Source organism: Homo sapiens, chromosome 9 (assembly GCF_000001405.40).
Source record: "Homo sapiens chromosome 9, GRCh38.p14 Primary Assembly".
In the NCBI taxonomy this organism is placed as follows: Eukaryota; Metazoa; Chordata; class Mammalia; order Primates; family Hominidae; genus Homo; species Homo sapiens.
The window spans coordinates 85,988,002-86,008,232 of NC_000009.12; the positions used below are offsets into that span (position 1 = coordinate 85,988,002).

Sequence of the window (20,231 nt, forward strand, 5' to 3'; positions counted from 1 at the left end):
TCTTGGTTTCTGCTGCAAGATAGAGGAGATGCTGTTGATGTTTTAGTAGTCTAGTTAACTGGTAATCTTTGTGTCAGTAAAAGAAACACATGCACACGGGCACATCACATGTGGCTTAAGGAAAGTCAATGAGGCCTCCAGCTAGCCTAGAGTGCTATTCTAACACCTCACTCAAAAAACTGGTTCAAGAAGCACTCCTTCAGTGATATCATAATCAAAAAAGAAACTGCATAGTATTTATACACAAATATTCCAAGAAAAGAAGCAGATGAAAAACACTGCTCAGAAACACTTTTGTACAGAAATTGAAAGAATTTATTTAAAAATGGCCTCTATAGAACAAGAGCAGAAAGCGAAAATATTAAGACTAAAAGAAGAAGTAATGAATAATAGAAAGGGAGTAAAAGTGACCAGGCAGAGTTCAGGAAAGCAGTAGAAGAGAAAAATCCTGAGAGATCTCATTGAAAATAGCAAAAGCATTCTAGACATTGCTGAAAAGCCGTAAAGGACATGGAGGGCCGGGCGTGGTGGCTTACGCCTGTAATCCCAGCACTTTGGGAGGCCGAGGCAGGCAGATCACCTGAGGTCGGGAGTTTGAGACCAGTCTGACCAACATGGGGAAATCCCCATCTCTACTAAAAATACAAAATTAGCTGTGGTGGTGCATGCCTGTAGTCCCAGCTACTCAGGAGGCTGAGTCAGGAGAATCGCTTGAACCTGGGAGGCGGAGGTTGCAGTGAGCCGAGATCACGCCATTGCACTCCAGTCTGGGCAACAAGAGTGAAACTCCGTCTCGAAAAAAAAAAAAGGACATGGAGGTCAGGATTGAGGAAAAAACTAAGCGAAGCAGAAGTGAGCAAAGGAGATGTGAAGTATGATGAGAAAGTAATAGCAAAAGAAGTCTCAGTATACATATGATTGGCGTCCCTTAAGATGTGAACAGTATAATGGAACAGAAAAAAATGTTAGACATTTCTAGAAGAAACTAGAATTAAATCCATGAGTGTCCATTGAAAGAGTATAATGTGTTCCAGGATAAATTGATAAAGAATTATTAATAGTAAAATAGAGCCTAGTAAATTAAGATCTAAAGCAACTATTATATTGGCTTCATGGTTCTTCACATCAACATCAACACAGAAAGTAGTGTAACAATATCTTCAAAGTCCTCAAGTAAAGAACTGTGACCTGCTGGGCGTGGTGGCTCACGCCTGTAATCCCAGCACTTTGGGAGGCCAAGGTGGGCGGATCATGAGGTCAGGAGTTTGAGACCAGCCTGACCAACATGGGGAAACCCTGTCTGTAATAAAAATAGAAAAATTAGCTGGGCGTGGTAGTGGGCGCCTGTAATCCCAGCTGCTCGGGAGGTTGAGGCAGGAGAATCGCTTGAACCCAGGAGGCAGAGGTTATGGTGAGCTGAGATCGCAGCATTGTACTTCAGCCTGGGTGACAGAGTGAGACTCTGTCAAAAAACAAAAAACAAACAAACAAAAAAAAACAAAGACAAAACAAAAAAACTGTGACCTAAGAGTTTTACACCCATTCCAAAGGTCTTTGAGTGACACTCGTAGAAATATTTTTAAACTAGCAAGAACTTGGAATATTTTTCCAAAGACCTTTTTCCTGGAGGAGAAAGACTGAAATCAGGAATGAAATTCAGCCTACTGAGACATAAATGGAAAAGCTGTGGCAGAAGGACAGGCATTGAGCATTGATTCTGTTTCATTGTAGAACTGTGGTTAAAACGGTGGAAATTGGTTTTACTAAATATAATGTAACATAACTGTCAAGAATCTTGACAATATAAAAGTAATTAACCAAAGTCAGGAAGTAACGGGGAAGACTAATTTTCTTTTATATGCAGGGGTCCAGAGATACTGGTTAAAGCTGAGAAATCATCTGTAATATAAAGATAGGTATATTTCAACATGTGGAGGTAACCAATGGCGATAGAGATAAGATTATTCAAGTTTGGTGCTTGTCGTAGTTCATTTTGTGTTGCTGTAACAGAGTTCCTGAGACTGGGTGATTTATTTTAAAAGAGGTTTACTTAGCTCATGGTTCTGCAGCCTGGGAATTTCAAGATTCATGGTGCATGCTCAGCTTCTGGTGAGGCCATGCACTGGGTCAAAACATGGCAGAGAAGTTAAGCAGACATGTGGAAAGAGGGACCAAACAGAAAGAACCTCCCTTTTAACAATACACTATCATGGGAACTAATCCGTACCTGTGAGAACTAATCCAGTCTCACGAGAGTGAGAAGGCATTAATCTGTTTAGGAGACATCTGCCCCCTTTACTCAGACACCTCCTGTTAGGCCCCATCTCTCAACACTGTTGTACTGGCAATTAAACTTCAACTTGAATTTTGGTGGGGACGAAAACACATCCAAACCATAGCAATGACCAAAGGAAGGTAAAGGGAGGTCTTTAGCATTATCATTGTTTATTATTGGTAAGAAGATTAACAGCTACCTTTCTGAAGGAATAGAACTTTAGAGATATTAATAAAGTTGTAGATACAAAATTAATAAAAGACTTCTCAATTATCAGAAGGAAAATACAGCAAAGAATGAATGATCTTAAAGATAACAAAGGGAACCATGTATTTCCAATTTAGTGATAACAAAACTCAGTTCTGATTCTTGCTCTTCTTTCCTTCTCTTCTTGAAAAAATTCACTCCTAATGCCATGAGATGGGCCTGAGCACAATGGGCATGTGCGCTAGAGCGAGACTTTGGAGCCTGCCTTAGGGATGATGATGGTGTCCACATGGGAGATAGGAGTAGCCTGACATAAGGTGTTGTAACCATGTGGGTAGGTGGAGTGTACTTGTAGCAGGGTGAGGCCTAGCATGGGCCATCAGAGTCTGTGTGGAGTAAGGAAGTGTCCATGTAGAATGGTAGTGGAATGGGGAGGGCATCTGCAAAGAGATAAACCTAGAGCAGGAGTTTGGAATAGTTCAAGATACCTTGAGAGCATCACTGTGAATCGGTAGCCTAACTGGATTCACTGCTTCTAAAGTGAGTGGAGAAGGGTATTTCCACAGGAGTGTAGCTGAGCTTGGGGTGCCTGAGCCTAAGCAGGATTGAGAAGGGGACCATGTGGGAACAACCTGGCACTGTATGTCAGGAGCCTAAGTAGGATGAGGAGGGTGTGTCTATGGGAAGGCAGTCTAGTACAGGGTTTTGGAGTATAAAGGCAGGGAGTAGAGAGAGGCATGGGGTGTGGGAGTCCAGGCAGGGTAGGCTCATGTTAATGGAGCCTGGCAGAGTAGGGTGGTGAAACCTGAGGTAAATTCATGGAGGTGGTTGTGTGCAGGGCTGTCAGAGACCAAGCCAGGTAATGAGGGCATCTGTGCATGTGGGTGACCAAGTACAGGGTTTCAGAGCCTAAGCATGTTGAAAAAGGTGTCATTGTGGAAGGTTTCCCAGGTATGGGGTGTCAGATCATAAGTGGGGGGAAGAGGCTGTCCAGGAGGACTGGATGGCATGAGATGTCAAAGCCTAAGCAGGAAGAGAAAAGTAGAAAGGTGGCTCCATGTGGGAAGTTGTAGCCTAAGCACACTGATGAAAAGCTTCTGTGCAGAAAGGTGGCCTGTTGTGGGGTATCAGAGCTTAGATGGGGTGAGGAGAGCATCTCTAGAGGAGTGCCAAATGGAGTGGAGGTTATGGTGGCCTAACATGTCAATGATAGGAGATTGTAGTGGACTGAATGATGGTCCCAAAGCTATCAAGGTCCTATTTCTACTTCTCAGAACCTGTAAATATTACTTTATTTGGGAAAGGGATCTTTATAAATGTGATTGTTAAGGGTCTTGTGATGAGGGGGTGATCATGGATTGTCTGGCTGTACCCAAATATCATAAGTGTCCTTCTAAAAGAGGTGGATGGGCCGGGCGTGGTGGCTCACACCTGTAATCCCAGCACTTTGGGAGGCCAAGGCAGGCGGATCACGAGGTCAGGAGATCAAGACTATCCTGGCTAACGCGGTGAAACCCCGTCTCTACTAAAACTACAAAAAAACAGCCGGGTGTGGTGGCGGGCGCCTGTAGTCCCAGCTACTCAGGAGGCTGAGGCAGGGGAATGGCGTGAACCCAGGACGCAGAGCTTGCAGTGAGCCAAGATTGTGCCACTGCACTCCAGCCTGGGCAACAGAGCAAGACTCCGTCTCAAAAAAAAAAAAATAATAAAAAATAAATGAATAAAATAATAGGAACATATCAGTTGGATATAGAAAAGAACTTGAAGGGGATCTCACGTGGTCAAAATTAGCAAAAACTTAAGCATCAAAGTAAATAATTCTGACAGATCATAACTTATTGAATAAAAGATAAAGCCATTATTCTACCCTGATATAAATAAATGAAATGGACAGTTTGATGAAAATATTTATATGAGTGTCCCCCCAACCCCCAAATACTTATTAATTTCAAAGGGAAAGGGAGTAACTACAATGAAGAGGCCTGTTGGATACACCTTAATCAAGTGATTAAAGTTCACATCACCAGTAGTAAGATCCTCATTTTGCTGATAGTGTGCAATGAGAATATAACATTAATTCTGTAATATTCCAAAGATTCATAATATGAATCTGATCATGAGGAAGCAAGACAATCCACATTGGAAGGCAGTATACAGAATTACTGGTCTGTTAGTCTTCAAAGATGTCAGTGTCATGGAAGTCAAGGAAAGACTGAAGAACTGTGTCAGACTGAAGGAGAATAAGAGGCAGTGAAATTAAATGCAGTTGACATGGTTATGAAGAAGTTTGTGAAACTTGAATGAAGTGTGAGGATTAGGTGATAGTAGTTGCTCAGTGTTAGTTTTCTAATTCTGATGGCTGTATTGTGATTATGTAAGACTATGTCTTTGTAGGAATAACACTCTAAACATACTTGAGGGTGGTTTACTATTGACTGTGCTTGGAACTTTTGAGATTGTTTCAAAAGAAAAAAGCTTACCTCAAAGCAAAATAGATCAATAATATGTTGGTGCTTTTGATATGTGAATGGATAAGTTATGATATATCTACACAATGGATATTATAATGGAATGAAATACTGATACATGCAACATAATGGATAAATCTTGGAAACATTATGTTGAGCCAAAGAAGTCAGATATAAATGAGTACAAATTGTCTGATTGTTTTGTTTGTTTAAAAGTAGGAAAGGCTAATCTTGTTTTTGAGACCGAGTTTCACTCTGTCACCCAGACTGGGGTGCAGTGGCGCAATCTAAGCTTACTGCAACCTTTGCCTGCCAGGTTCAAATGATTCTCCCACCTCAGCCTCCTGGGTAGCTGGGATTACAGGCGTACACCACCACACCTGGCTAATTTTTGTGTTTTTAGTAGAGATGGGGTTTCACCCTGTTGGCCAGGCTGGTCTTGAACTCCCTCAAGTGATCTGCCCACCTTGGCCTCCCAAAGTGCTGCGATTACAGGTGTGAGCCACCATGTCCGGCTAGGAAAGGCTAATCCATAGGGACAGGAAGAAGTTCCTTGGTTACTGAGCATTGGAGTGATAGACTGAGAAATTGCACAAAAAAACCTTTCGGGGTGGTAAAAACGTTCTTTTTGTTGATTGTGGTAGTTACATGGTTGTACATATTTTTCAGACCATTGAACTGTACATTTAATGTTTGTATTGTATGTGAATTGCGCCTCAATAAAATTAGAAAAGGGAAGTTTCTCCCACACGTGGAAGAAACTTGTAGTTGTGGTTATTTCTCCAGAGATAAACCGGGGATCACAAGTGGATGGCTTTTTTTTCTCTTAAACTCAGTGGTAAGAATGAGATTTTCAAAAAACCCTTTGCATCTATTAGATAGGGTCTCACTCTGTCACCCAGGCTGGAATGCAGTGATGCAGTCACGGCTCACTACAGCCTCATCGTCCTGTACTCAAGCTGTCCTCCCATCTCAGCCTCCCCAGTAGCCAGGACTACAGGCATGAGCCAGGACACCCGGCTAATTTTTTTTTTTTTTTGTAGTGACTGGGTTTTACCTGTTTAAAAATATATGCTAAACAGTATTAGATACGTAGATTTGTATGATATTACATCCTAGGTTACTCTCACCAATGACTAGGGTATAATATTTATTGAGGCCATGCCTTGAGTTTAACAGTTGTGTTTTAATACTATTTTGTAACATTTTGGTTAAATAAAACGTAAAGCTTACCATTTTAACCATTTTAAGTATACAATTCACTAGCATTAATTACATCCACATTGCTGTGCAACTATCACCACTGTCTCCAGAACTTTATGTTCTAAACTGGAACTCTACCCCTTAAACATGAACTCCCAGTTCCCTCCTCCCCACAAACCCTCACGGCCATTATTCTCTGTCTGAATTTCACTGTTCTAGGTCCCTCATACAAGTGATATTATGCAATACTTGTCCTTTTGTGTCTGGCTTAGTATAATTCTACAACTTTTTGTAAAAGGAAATAAAATAGCCAAGGAGTGCAGAATAACATAACCAAAGCTCAGCAGCTTTTATGTTGTTTTCCAGAATTCCTTCCAATTTAAGGGCAGCCAAAACTCGTTATTTTAATAAACCTGACTATAAATTGCCTATGTAACTCTGGAAAATATGTTGAATAAATAATATAGTGTCTCTCTTGACTAATACATTTCCAGATCTTTAATTTTGACATCTGATTTACTTTTAGAATAACTTACTTTGCTCAGTAAAACCAAAGTACTTGTTACCATAAATCTTTTATCCGGGGGGAAGGGGAAGGTAAAGAGAAGTTGGTTAATGGGTGCAAAAATAGTTAGATAGATGAAATATGTTCTATTATTTGATAGTACAGAAGGGAGACTATAGTTAATATTTTGTTGTATATTTCAGAATAGCTAGCAGAGAATTGGAATGTTACCAGTACAAAGAAGAGAGAAACGTTTGAAGTGACAGATATCCTAATTACCCTGATTTGATTATTACACATTGTGTACATGTATCAAAATATCACATATACCACAAAAATACATAACAACTATCATACATCAGTTTTTAAAAAAGAAAAAATTATTATGTAATGACCATGTGCTATTGGTAATACTTTTCTGTTATTAGTAATGAAGACCAGTGACCTAACAGGAATTGTAGTACCTCAACAGTTTAAACCCATGTATCATAATGTTTTGAAAATATCAGTTATACTTTATTATTTTAAGAGAGTGCTAGTTGAAGGGAAGATAATCTTATTTGGCCCTCTTGTACTGAGTGATTTTTAGCAATTTATTTATTTTTAATTTTTAAAATTTATTTATTTAAAATAATTATTTAAATTATTTTATTTTATTTATTTAAAATAAAAAATTATTTTTTATTTGAGATGGGATTTGGAACTAAGAAGGATTGTAGGCTAAAGATTTTAGTTTGGAATAATTTAAATCACAATTTATATTAGAATAAGTAACATCAACCAGTTGCTTAGGGAGAAAATACAGAGAAGAGGAAAAAGACCAAGAACCTTGAGAACATCTTTATTTGCGTGGTCCTAAAGAACAATTATGGTTTATATATCTCAGGGGCATTATAATATGGTTGTCAGTCTTGCTTTTAATTCTTAATAACAACAGCTATTCAGCTTTAATTTTATCTTTAATTGGCATCTGAAACCATATTTTTTCTTAGGTTGTGGCCAGTTTGTAGACTAGCAGGAGAACTTTGAATAAAAAATTCTTATTCATGTATCATTTTAGCGATATACTCCCTCATTTGAGATTTCAAGTTGAGAAAGACTTAGTTTGGAGCTATGCACTAGTGTGAAAAGTGAGATCACCAGTGGACAGAGAAGAAAGAGGAACTCACTCTTAGGTGTCTTACAATACTGTCTTTAAAATATTGTGGATTTCTGTAATTACATCTCTGTTCCAAATGCATTTTGGGCTCATTGAGGGTTGAGGGCAGTGCTGCTCTGCTCTGCTATTCAGGATTATTATATAGCTAAGTTTGAATGGATTCTACTGTTTAGTAATTGAGGGGAAGAGAAGCTTATATTATTTGTGTTCCCATTTTACCTTTCTTCACAATCTCATGGTTAATGTATCATTTCCTCTGTTTTGAAAGAATATACTGACCCTATTTTATCCTCAGAGTTTTTTCTTTGAGTTCATTTTGACATAGAAACTCCCCTCCATCACCACTATCACCACCATGTAGGTAGGAGGTACAGTTTTAGGTTATTAAATCTACTTGTTTAGTTTTTAAAAAATGTATATGTATAGATATATTCTAAATTATAAAATCTATTTAGAGGATTTTGTGGTTAGAATTTGTTTGGAAAAGCTTTTTAAACTGGCATTTTTATATTTAATAACATTTGCAGTTTAAAATTCAGAGAAAAGTTGAAAAATTTTACTTTCATTTTTTTCTTTTTAGATCATCCAATTATGATGGGTTTTGAACCCCTTGTGAACCAGAGGCTACTTCCACCTACCTTCCCTCGATATGCAAAAATAATTAAAAGGGAAGAAATGGTGAACTATTTTGCAAGATTAATAGATAGAATAAAAACTGTCTGTGAGGTTGTGAATTTAACAAATTTACATTGTATCCTGGTAAGTACAAATCTCTGTTCCAGAATGTAACTTCCATTTAAAAAAAATTGATACATAATAATTGTACATATTTATGTGGTAACTTTGGTTTAACAACAGAATAATTGATTGCTTTATAGACATTGACCAAGGGTAAATACTACTCTTTGTCTATTTTCTGTGATAGCTAGAGGATTAAGTGGTTCATAAATACTATACATACATACTGTTTAATCCTCAAAAGCTTTTACACTATTTTAGAGATTAAGAAGCCGATGTTGAAGGGTTAGATAATTCATCCAAGATTTGTTTTGAGACAGGATCTCACTCTGTTGTCTAGGCAGGAGTACAGTGGTGTGATCTTGGCTCAAAGTGAACTTAAACTCTTTTTTTTTTTTAATTTTTTTTGTGGAGATGGGGGCCTTGATCTGTCACCTACATTGGAGTGCAGTGGCATGATCTCAGCTCACTGCAGCCTGGACCTTCTCGGCTCAAGCAATCCTTCTGCCTCTCAGCCTCCCAAGAAGCTGGGACCACAGGCGTGTGCCACCATGCCCAACAATGTTTTAGTTTAATCATTATTTTTGTAGAGATGGGGTCTCACTATGTTACCCAGGCTGGTGTTGAACTCCTGGGTTCAAGCAGTCCTCCTACTTCTGCCTCCCAAAATGCTGGGATTGCAGGTGTGAGCTACTGCGCTCTGCCTAGCCTTGAACTCTTGAGGTCAAGTGATCTCCCACTTCAGCCTCCCAAGTAGCTGGGAGAGACACATGCCACTAGACTTGGATAATTTTTTTTTTTTTGATAGGGGGTTTCCCTCTGTTGCCCAGGCTGGAGTGCAGTGGTGTGATCTTAGCTCCCTGCAACCTCCGCCTGCCAGACTCAAGCTGTCATTCCACATCAGCCTCCCAAGTAGCTGGGACTGCAAGCGTGTGCCACCATGCATGGCTAATTTTTTGTATTTTTGGTAGAGACAGGGTTTCACCATTTTGCCCAGGCTGGTCTCTAACTCCTGAACTCAAGCGATCCACCTGCTTTGGCCTCCCAAAGTGCTGGGATTACAAGTGTGAGTCACTGCACCCGGTCAATTTTTAAATTTTTATTTATTGTGGAGACAAGGTCTCACCATGCTGGCCAGGCTGCTCTCGAACTCTTGGGCTCAAGCAATCCTTCCATCTTGGCCTCCCAAAGTGCCAGGATTATAGGCATGGGCCAGTGTGCTTGGCCTCACCTTAGTTTTAAGAGTGGGGATTGAACTCTGGATTCTGTCTTCAAAACATATAAATGTGTATATATATGCTGGTATACACATACATACATACATATATATTTATGTATGTGTGTGTGTGTATATATTTTTTTTGTTTGTTTGTTTTGAGACAGAGTCTCACTCTGTCGCCCAGGCTGGAGTGCAGTGGTGTGATCTTGGCTCACTGCAAGCTCCACCTCCCAGGTTCACGCCATTCTCCTGCCTCAGCCTCCCGAGTAGCTGGGACTACAGGCGTCCGCCACCACGCCCAGCTAATTTTTTGTATTTTTAGTAGAAACGGGGTTTCATCGTGTTAGCCAGGATGGTCTTGATTTCCTGACCTCGTGATCCACCCACCTTGGCCTCCGAAAATGCTGGGATTACAGGCATGAGCCACTGTGCCCGGCCTTAAGTGTGTATATAGTTTTACATGTAAAAATGGGATCATGGTGTTTGGTAACCTGCTTTTTAAAATTGCTTGTCTCTGTATCATGAACATCTTCCTTTTCATGTCAACAAATACATGACAAATTCTACATTATTTTAATGGCTGTGTGGTATTCCATTTTAAGCATATATTACAGTTTTTTAAATTTCATATTAAATTACATTTAGGTCATTTTCAGTGTTACAAACAATACTAAGATGAATATATTTATAGGTAACTCTTTTTATTGTATGCTTCCTTTCCCCTTAAGATAAATTCCTAAAAAATGAAGCTGCTAGGTACACTTTTAACTATCATATTTTGGATTAATATTTTTTATGGGTTAAAATATAGAAAAACAAGGCTCATTTTAAGAACATTCAGAGATGGAGCTTTTTTTTGTTTTTTGTTTTTCTCTCCTGTACCCACTGACAGCAGAAAAGCTTTTTAATTGGTAGGATTATAGTAGCACATGTAAGGTTAGTAGGAAAGGTAGAAAATGTGCAAGACAGTACTGTTGTTCTTAGGACATAAGTACACTAACATCTGTGGCATAGCTAGGCATTTGAGTGTTGTTACCTTACACACTGAGGTGTGGAATTGTCAGCCCCATGTCATTTTCTCTGTGAAATCTTCCCCTTTGGTTGCTGGTTGCCACTGTACCTGTGTTCCTTGAGCTCACACAGTATATAGTTTATACTCCCAGCATTTAGCAGCAGTCTCTGGGAAATAGTTGATAGTAAAGATTTGTGCTTTTGTTTATGTTCTTTATTTTTCCTTCTATTAATTCTTTGTCATTAAAACCCAGCTTAAGTCTTCATTCCTTAGTAAAACTTTCACTGATTATGCCTTTAATACCTTCTGTTGCATTTGCTTTCTTATTAGATTGCTCTTATTCTGTCATAAGAATCAGAATTTTAAAAGTTCCTAGGAAAAAGATCATAGAAAGACAGTTTTACAGTTAAACAAACTAAGGTTCAGACGTTCTAAAGTAACCAAATTAGATGACTATAGTAGCATATCTGGAATGAGAATAGATATTTTCTTATTCTCTTCTGCCACATTGACTTTTTTGATCTTAATTGTTACATGAATATACATTTGTGTTCACTAGATTAATTGCAAGGTCTTTAAGTAAAATCAACCTGTAAACCCATGTCAACCATAAGGTAATATGCTTTTAATGTATATAGTTGTTTTACCAGTTGTATTGGTAAGCAAATGGACTTTAAAATAATTTTTTTAGTAAGCAACAGGGCTGACTTGGGTTGTGACAGGCTCCTGATATTGAAGGCTAAGTTGTCTGCCATTATTGTTGGTCAATTTCACTGAACCCTCTGAGGAAACCATGGCCCATTCCAGGTACCTTAGGGGGACCCACACTGGTTCTAACCAAGGATAGGTAGCTGAGGCATTGTCAGTGATCCTTTAGAATTTTCTCAGCAAGCTGCAGGATTTCTTAATAAAGAGCTTGATCAGATAGATGCCCGAATAGGCATTTATTCTGATTTTGGTTTCTGAAGAGCTGCTGTCCCAAGCAGTTCTCCTTAACAAATCCAAGTCCAAATATTAAAATACATACATTATTATTTAACTATAAAATTTGGAAGATGCAGAGAACTGTGAAGATGATAAATAACTGCTGTCCCACACTCTGTAGATGTTAGCATTTCGGTGTATTTTGTCATCTGGTTTTATATCTACATATAAACCCATATCTTTTCATTTTTTAGATAAATTTCTTTAAAAAAATTTTACATTTGAGGGTACATGTGAAGGTTTCTTACATAAATAAACACTTGGCCTGCCTTGGACTCTTATTGTTTTGAGGTGTGGTCCTTCAATACCTAGTTTATTGAGAGTGTAACATGAAGGGATGTTAAATTTTATCAGAAGGCTTTTCTGCATCTATTGAGATAATCATGTGATTTTTGTCTTTAGTTCTGTTTATGTGATGAATCACATTTATTGATTTTTTTGTATGTTGAAACAACCTTGCATCCCAGGGATGCAGCCTACTTGATCATGGTGAATTAGCTTTTTGATGTGCTGCTGGATTCGATTTGCAAGTACTTTGTTGAGGATTTTTGCATCGATATTAATCAAAGATATTGGCCTGAAGTCTTCTTTTTTTGTTGAGTCTCTACCAGGTTTTGGTATCAAGATGATGCTAGCCTCATAGAAGGAGTTGGGGAGAAGTCCCTCCTCAGTTTTTTGCAATAGTTTCTGTAGGAATGGTACCAGCTCTTCTTTGTACATCTGGTAGAATTCACCTGTGAATCCATCACGTCCTGGCCTTTTTTTTTTGGTTGGTAGGTTATTTATTACTGATTCAGTTTTGGAGCTCATTATTGGTCTGTTCAGGGAATCAGTTTCTTCCTGGCTCAGTCTTGGGAGGGTGTATGTGTCCAGGAATTTATCCATCTCTTCTAGGTTTTCTAGTTTGTATGTGTAGAGATGTTCATAGTAGTTTCTGATGGTTGTTTTTATTTCTTTGGGGTCAGTAGTAACATTCCCTTCATCATTTCTAATTGTGTTTATTTGGGTCTTCTCCCATTTCTTCTTAGTCTAGCTGGTGGCCTATTTTATTTTTTTTCAAAAAACTAATAGCAAGATTTGTTGATCTTTTGAATGGGTTTTCATGTCTTGATTTCCCTCAGTTCACCTCTGATTTTTGTTAGTCCTTGCCTTCTGCTAGCTTGGAGATTTTTTTGTTCTTGGTTTCTCTGATTCTTTCAGTTGTGAAGTTAGGTTGTTTGAGATCTTTCTAACTTTTTGATGTGGGCATTACATGCTATGAATTTCGTTCTTAACACTGCTTTAGCTGTGTCCTAGAGATTTTGGTATGTTGTATCTTTGTTCTCATTATTTTCAAAGAACTTCTTGATTTCTGCCTTAATTTCATTATTTACCCAAAAGGCATTCAGGAGGATGTTTTTTAATTCACATGTAATTGCATGGTTTTGAGCGATTTTCATTGTGTCGACTTTTATTTTTATTACGCTGTGGTCCAAGAGTATGTTTGGTATGACTTCAGTTCTTTTACATTTGTTGAGTATTTTATGTCCAATTATGTGGTCGATATTAGAGTATGTGCCATGTGGTGATGAGAAGGTTGTATATTCTGTTGTTTTTGGGTGGAGACTTCTGTAAAGGTCTATCAAATCCATTTGGTCCAGTGCTGAGTTCAGGTCCTGAATATCTTTGTTAATTTTTTGTCTCGATGATCCATCTAATACTGTCATTGGAGTGTTGAAGTCTCCCACTGTTGTTATGTGGGAGTCTGTGTCTCTTTGTAGGTCTGTAAGAACTTGCTTTAGGAATCTGGGTGCATATATATTTAGGATAGTTAGGTTTTCTTGTTGAATTGAACCCTTTACCCTTATGTAATACCCTTCCTTGTCTTATTTGATCTTTGTTGGTGTGAAATCTGTTTTGTCTGAAATTAGGATTGCAACCCCTGCTTTTTTCTGTTTTCCATTTGCTTGGAAGATTTTCCTCCATCCCTTTATTTTGAGCCTATGAGTGTCATTATGTGTGAGATGAGTCTCTTGAAGACAGCACATCAGTACGTCTTGCTTTTTTATCCAGCTTGTCACTCTGTTTCTTAAGTGGGCCATTTAGCCCGTTTACATTCAGGTTAGTATGATATGTGTGGATTTGATCCTGTCATTATGGTGTTAGCTGGTTATTATGTTGGCTTGTTTTTGTGGTTGCTTTATAGTGACACTAGTCTGTGTGTTTAAGTGTGTTTTTGTATTAGCTGGTAGTAGTCTTTCCTTTCTATATTTAGGGCTCCTTTCAAGATCCTCTTGTAAGGTAGGACTGGTGGTAATGAAGTCCCTCAACATTTGCTTATCTGAAAAGGATCTTATTTCTCCTTCACTTAGGAAGGTTAGTTTGGTGGGATATGAAATTCTTGGTTGAAGATTTTTAAAAGAATGTTGAATATAGGACCCCAATTTCTTCTTGTAGGGTTTCAGCTGAGAGGTCTCCTTTTTAGCCTGATGGGGATCCCTTTTTAGGTTACTCGCCCTTTCTTTGTAGCTGCCTTTAACATTTGTTTCATTTCGGCTTTGGAAAACCTGAGGATTTTATGTTTTGGGGATGATCTGCTTGTGTAGAATCTTGCAGGACTTCTCTGTATTTCCTGAATTTGAATGTTGGCTTCTCTAGCAAAGTTGGGGAAGTTTTCACGAACAATACCCAGAAATATATTTTCCAAGATGTTTGCTTTCTCCCCTTGCCTTTCAGGGATGCCAGTGATTCAAAGTTAGCTTGTTTCCATAATCCCATACTTCTCAGAGGTTTTTTTCATTCCTTTTTCTTCTTTTTTCTTTATTTTTGTCTGACTGTCTTATTTCAGAGAACCAGTCTTCAAGTTCTGAGATTCTGTCCTCACCTCAGTTTATTTTGCTGTTAATACTTGTGATTGCATAGTGAAATTCTTGTATTATTCAGCTCTGTCAGACCTTTTAGGTTCTTTTTTATGCCAGCTATTTTATCCTTCAGCTCCTGTATCACTTTATTATTATTATTTTTCTTGGATTGGGTTTTGCTATCCTCCTGAATCTCTATGATCTTTGGTCCTGAATTCTATTTCTGTCATTCCAGCCAGTTCAGCCTGATTAAGAACTCATGTTGGAGAACTGGTGCAGTCATTTGGAGGACATATGACACTCTGGCCATTTGAGTTACCATAGTTCTTGCCTAGGTTCTTTCTCATCTCTGTGTGTGGATGTTCCTTTAACTGCAGTGTAGATTGAGTACAGTCAATAGACTTCTTTTCTGGATGTTTTCACTGGGCCGAGGCTTTCTGTAGGGTCTTTATTTGAAGCTGACTTCTTGTCTCTGGTTTCAAAGTGGGGTATGTTAGTGAGGTACTTTTGGTGTTGAAGCTTTGGTGACACTTAGGCTTATTGATCACTTGGTAGACTCTTGCTCAAAAACCTGTATCTTTTGGTCTTTCCCTATAGTCAGCAACAATCAGTAATGTGCATCCAGTTGACTTGATTACTTGGAATTTATTTCTGTGAAATAGGAACTAAAGTTCTGCCATGACTTAGTAAATTATTATTGGTATTATTTTTATGGTATACAAATTTAATATTGGTATCCACACAATTCTATGATTGGTCAGTTTTTTTAAGGAAAGTTTTTAGAGTCTAGAATTATCCATTGTCCCTTTTATATAATTAAATAATTTCTATAGAAATGACCTTTATTTGTCATATTTTAACTCTGGTACTATGTCATTTCCAGAAGGTCTAGTAAAAATTACAGTCTGATGAAGTGTTTTTAGCTTTTATTTAATCTATTAATGACATTGCTTTTTCTTTATATATCTGTTAGGATTTTTTCTGTGAATTTAGTGAACAGTCACCATGTGTTCTTTCAAGATCTCTGTTACAAGTAAGTTCCACTTAGTATCAAAATACTTATTTAAACATTATATGTGTATTGACATTGTTTTATTGATTGATTGAACAAAAGGTAGATGCTTTTAAAGGATTTTCCAGTTAGTGTTGTGTATTTTTTTTTTAATTGAAGTATTAACTTTAAGCATTAGACATCCATCAAGATCATATCCTAGGTCATAAAACAAACCTCAGTGATTTAAAAACAATCAAAATCCTACAAAGTATCTTTCTTATCATTTTAGAATTAAACTAGTAACCAACAAGGGAATGATATCCAGGAAAATCTCCAAATATTTTGAAATTAAACAACTTGTAAGTAACACATGGGTCAAAGACAGAGGTCTTGAGGGGAGTTCAAAAATATTTTGAACTGAATGAAAATTAAAATGTACCCAAATCTGTGAGATACAAATAAAGCAGCGCTTAGAGGGAAATTTGTAGCATTGAATGTTTTTTTGTTTTGTTTTTGTTTTGAGATAATCTCACTCGTTGCCCAGGCTGGAGTGCAGTGGCATGCTCTTGGCTAACTGCAATCTCCGCCTCCCGGGTTCAAGTGATTCTTGTGCCTCAGCCTATCAAGTAGCTGGGATTACAGGCGCACACCATCATGCCTAGCTAATTTTTGTATTTTTGGTAGAGACGGGGTTTCACCATGTTGGCCAGGCTGGTCTCAAACCCCTGACCTCAGGTGATCCACCCGTCTCAGCCTCCCAAAGTGCTAGGATTACAGGTTGGAGGATCGCTTGAACCTGGGAAATCCAGGCTGCAGTGAGCTGTGATCCCACCAACTGCATTCCAGCTTGGGCAACAGAGTGAGACCCTGTCAAAAAAAAAAAGTCTACGGTTAGTAATTTAAGCTACCACTGTATGAAACCAGAAAAAGAAGAGCATATTAAAACAAACAGAAGGAAATAATGAGCAGAAATTAGTAAAATATAGAACAGAAAAACAATGGAGAAAATCAATGCAACCCAAAGCTCATTCTTTGAAAATATTCATGAAGTCAATGAACCTCTAATGAGGCATAATAAGAGAAAGATAAAAATGACTAATATCAAGAATGAAAGAAGGGGTATCATTACAGACTCTGTAAACATTAAAAGAATAGTAATGGGATATACAACTCTGTCCATAAATGCAAAAGCAGATAAAATGGACCTATTCCTTTAAATGTAGATACAGACTACCAAAACTCAAGAAGAGACAGATAATTTGAATAATCTCTTATCTATTAAATAAATCAGACTTATAGTTAAAAACCTAACAATGCAAACTGCAGGCCAGCTCTATGTAGTGTCTTCCAGAAAATAAAAGAGGCAAGAACACTCATATGAGCCAGAATTTACTCTATCAAAACCAAACCAACTTTACAAACATGGAAAACTATAGACCATATTTTCCTCACAAACACAGATGTAAAAATCTTATTCCATGAACACAGATGTAAAAATCTTCAATAAATTATTAATAAATCAAATTCAACAATATATAAAAAGAGGTAATACACCATGACCAAATAAGATTTACCCTAAGAATCAAGCCTGGTTCACCAGTTGAAAATTGGTCAGCATAATATACCATATTATCTAAAGTCTTAGTAGATTCACAAAAAGCATTTGACAAAATTCAACATCCATTCATGATTTGAAACTCTTAGCAAAACTAGATACAGAAGAGAGCTTCCTAAACCTGATAAAGGACATATACAAAAATACCTTACAGCTAACATCATACTTAATGATGAAAGACTAAATGGTTTCCTCCAAGAATGGGAAGAAGGCAAAGATGCCCACTTCGCTCTTACTGAACATTGGAAATCTTAGCCAGTGCAATAAAGCAAGAAAAAGAAATAAATGGCACACAGATTTGGAAAGGAAGAAAAAATATTGTCTATTTAGAGATGACATCATTTTCCATGTAGAATGCCCATGGATTTTACAAGGAAGTTCCTAGAACTGATTAGTGAATTTAGTGAGATTATAGGATATGAAGTCATTATACAGAAAGCAGTTGTAATTCTATATACTTGAAATGAACAATGGTAGATCAAAATTTTAAAAACCAAACTATTTACAATAACAAAATGAAATACATAGGTGCAAATCTAATATGATTAATATTCAGCAATATTCAATATATTAAATATTCAAATTCAACATGGTAAATATTAGGGAAATGCAAATTAAATCACAGAAATACTATTCACCTTTCAGAATATCTTTAAAAAAAAAAAAATCTGGCCAGGCATGGTGGCTCACGCCTGTAATCCCAGCACTTTGGGAGGCGGAGGTGGTTGGATCACGAGGTCAGAAGTTCAAGATCAGCCTGGCCAAGATAGTGAAACCCCATCTGTACTAAAAATACAAAAATTAGCCTGGCATGGTGGCAGGCGCCTGTAATCCCAGCTACTCGGGAGGCTGAGGCAGAGAATTGCTTGAAGCTAGGAGGCAGAGGTTGCAGTAAGCCAAGATCGCACCACTGCACTCCAGCCTGGGCAACAGAGCGAGACCCCATCTCAAAAAAAAAAAAAGTCTGATAATACCAAGTGCTGGTGAGGATGTATTTGGTGATAGGAATGTAATGTGGTTCAGCTGCTTTGGAAAATAGCTTGGCACGTTCTTATAAATTAAACATGCAGCTCACACTCCTAGTTGATTGCCTAAGAGAAGTGAAATTTGACATTCTTCTCGAAACCTCTGCAAATGTGTAGAGCTGTTTGTTCATGATCATCAAAAACAGACAACCCAAATGTTCTTGAGCTGGTCAGTGGATAAACATACTGTGGTACATGCACAGTGGAATACTACTCAGAAATAAAAAGAAAATGAAGCATGATACACTTAACAATGCCAATGAATCTCCACTGCATTATGCTGGGTAAAAGAAGCTGGACTCAAAAGGCTATATGATTTCGTTTTAATGACATTCTGGAAATGGCAAAACTGATAGAGCTGGAGAGCAGATCAGTGCTTGCCAGGGGTTTGGGGCGGGAGGAGCGTTTGACCACAAAGGGATCACATGAGGGAATGTTTTTAGGGTGATACAGGTGATACAGTTTGTTCTGTATCTTGATTGTGAGACTGATTTGAAAAACTATGCTTTTGTTAGACTTATAACTGTACAACAAACATGTAAATTTTACCATATGTAAATTTTAAAATTTAAAAACAGTCTTAGGAAATCAAGGTATGGTATATTAAATACTAAAATACAGTGGATTGTTAAGGAAAGGAAAGGAAATTAAAACAAATTATTAAATGCAAGTTGTTTTAAATTTTTTCATGTTCAGAAATGAACATAAAAAATATTAAAAATATTTGTATATGTTACAAAACATTCATTAGAGGTAAACAGGATTATCAAATAACATGTATAGCCATTTACTATTTCATAGTTTATGAAGCATTTTTTAATACATTAGCTCATTTGACATAATCAGATTAGTCAGTTTATTTTGACTATTTTAATATTACTACTCTTGGGAGGTTTTTATTTCTGTACATTTTTTATCCTACATCAGAATTCACCTTCAGTAAGGATTAATAAGTAACACTCATTGTGGAGACAGCAACTTATAAAAAATTTTCACAAACTTTTTATATTTTAATCACTTGCGTAGTCTGTGGCATTTATAAGTATACTGATTTTACACTAATGACAATTCTGTGCGTGACACCGTAACTAATATATAACATTTGTTTTAAGACCACTTTCCTGGTGGATAACAAAAAGGTCTTTGGAACTCATCTCATGCAAGACATGGTGAAAGATGCACTTCGGTCTTTTGTCAGTCCTCCGGTGCTTTCCCCCAAGTAAGTATTGTAAGACATTTTAGAGTTGTATGTATGTGCTCCTTTAAAAGCCCAACTTCTCTGTACTCCTTCTTTATAGCCAAAGTATCAAAATTGGGACCAAATCTCCATGTAAAGTAACTTAATAGTGTTAAAATTAATTGATCTCTGCCACATTGTTTAGATTAAAACTAAGGTTTTTATGAGGTTGACAAAATTTCTGATAACTCCAAGTTTTTTGTCTCCAGCGTAAGTCCTTAAACTTTGCCGTAGTAGAGGCACTGCCCCGAAAACATGCTGCCATCAGAGGCTGAAAGGATTGCATGCAGAAAGAATCATCATTTGAAAGCTGGCATTCTGAGAAATGTCAGGCTTTTCCAACAGGGAAGGGAAGAAAGGAGTCATCATTTCTTAACAAAGCACTTACACTTTGTTAAAAAAAAAGATACACCTAACAGTGTATCTTTTTCCACTGAAAGATACACGATGGCTTTCTATCACAAATTACTTCATGGTAGATCTAATTAATTATATGTAATGGCTGCCAAATATTTCATAATAAATGTTGAGTATCTTTTATCCAAAATGCCCTGGACCAGAGGTGTTTTAGATTTCTGATATTTTTGGATTTTTGAAGTATTTGCATGTACATAATGTTGCTCAGGCTGGAGTGCAGTGGCATCATCTCAGCTTACTGCAACCTCCGCCTCCTAGGTTCAAGAGATTCTCCCACATCAGCCTCCTGAGTAGCTGAGATCACGGGTGCATGTCACCATGCCCAGCTAATTT

The 20,231-nt window shown here is 37.5% G+C and overlaps 1 protein-coding gene across 7 annotated transcripts in view; it reads left to right on the forward strand.

Moving 5' to 3' along the window:
• Positions 1-20,231, forward strand: part of NAA35 (N-alpha-acetyltransferase 35, NatC auxiliary subunit) — an 84,317-nt gene that overhangs the window by 46,856 nt on the left and 17,230 nt on the right. For all 7 annotated transcript variants that reach the window (XM_005252127.5, NM_024635.4, NM_001321881.2 and 4 more), the window contains 3 exons: positions 8,398-8,576; positions 15,584-15,643; positions 19,357-19,463. In XM_005252127.5, the coding sequence (XP_005252184.1) occupies positions 8,398-8,576; positions 15,584-15,643; positions 19,357-19,463 (346 nt within the window). The remainder of the gene's footprint in view (positions 1-8,397; positions 8,577-15,583; positions 15,644-19,356; positions 19,464-20,231) is intronic.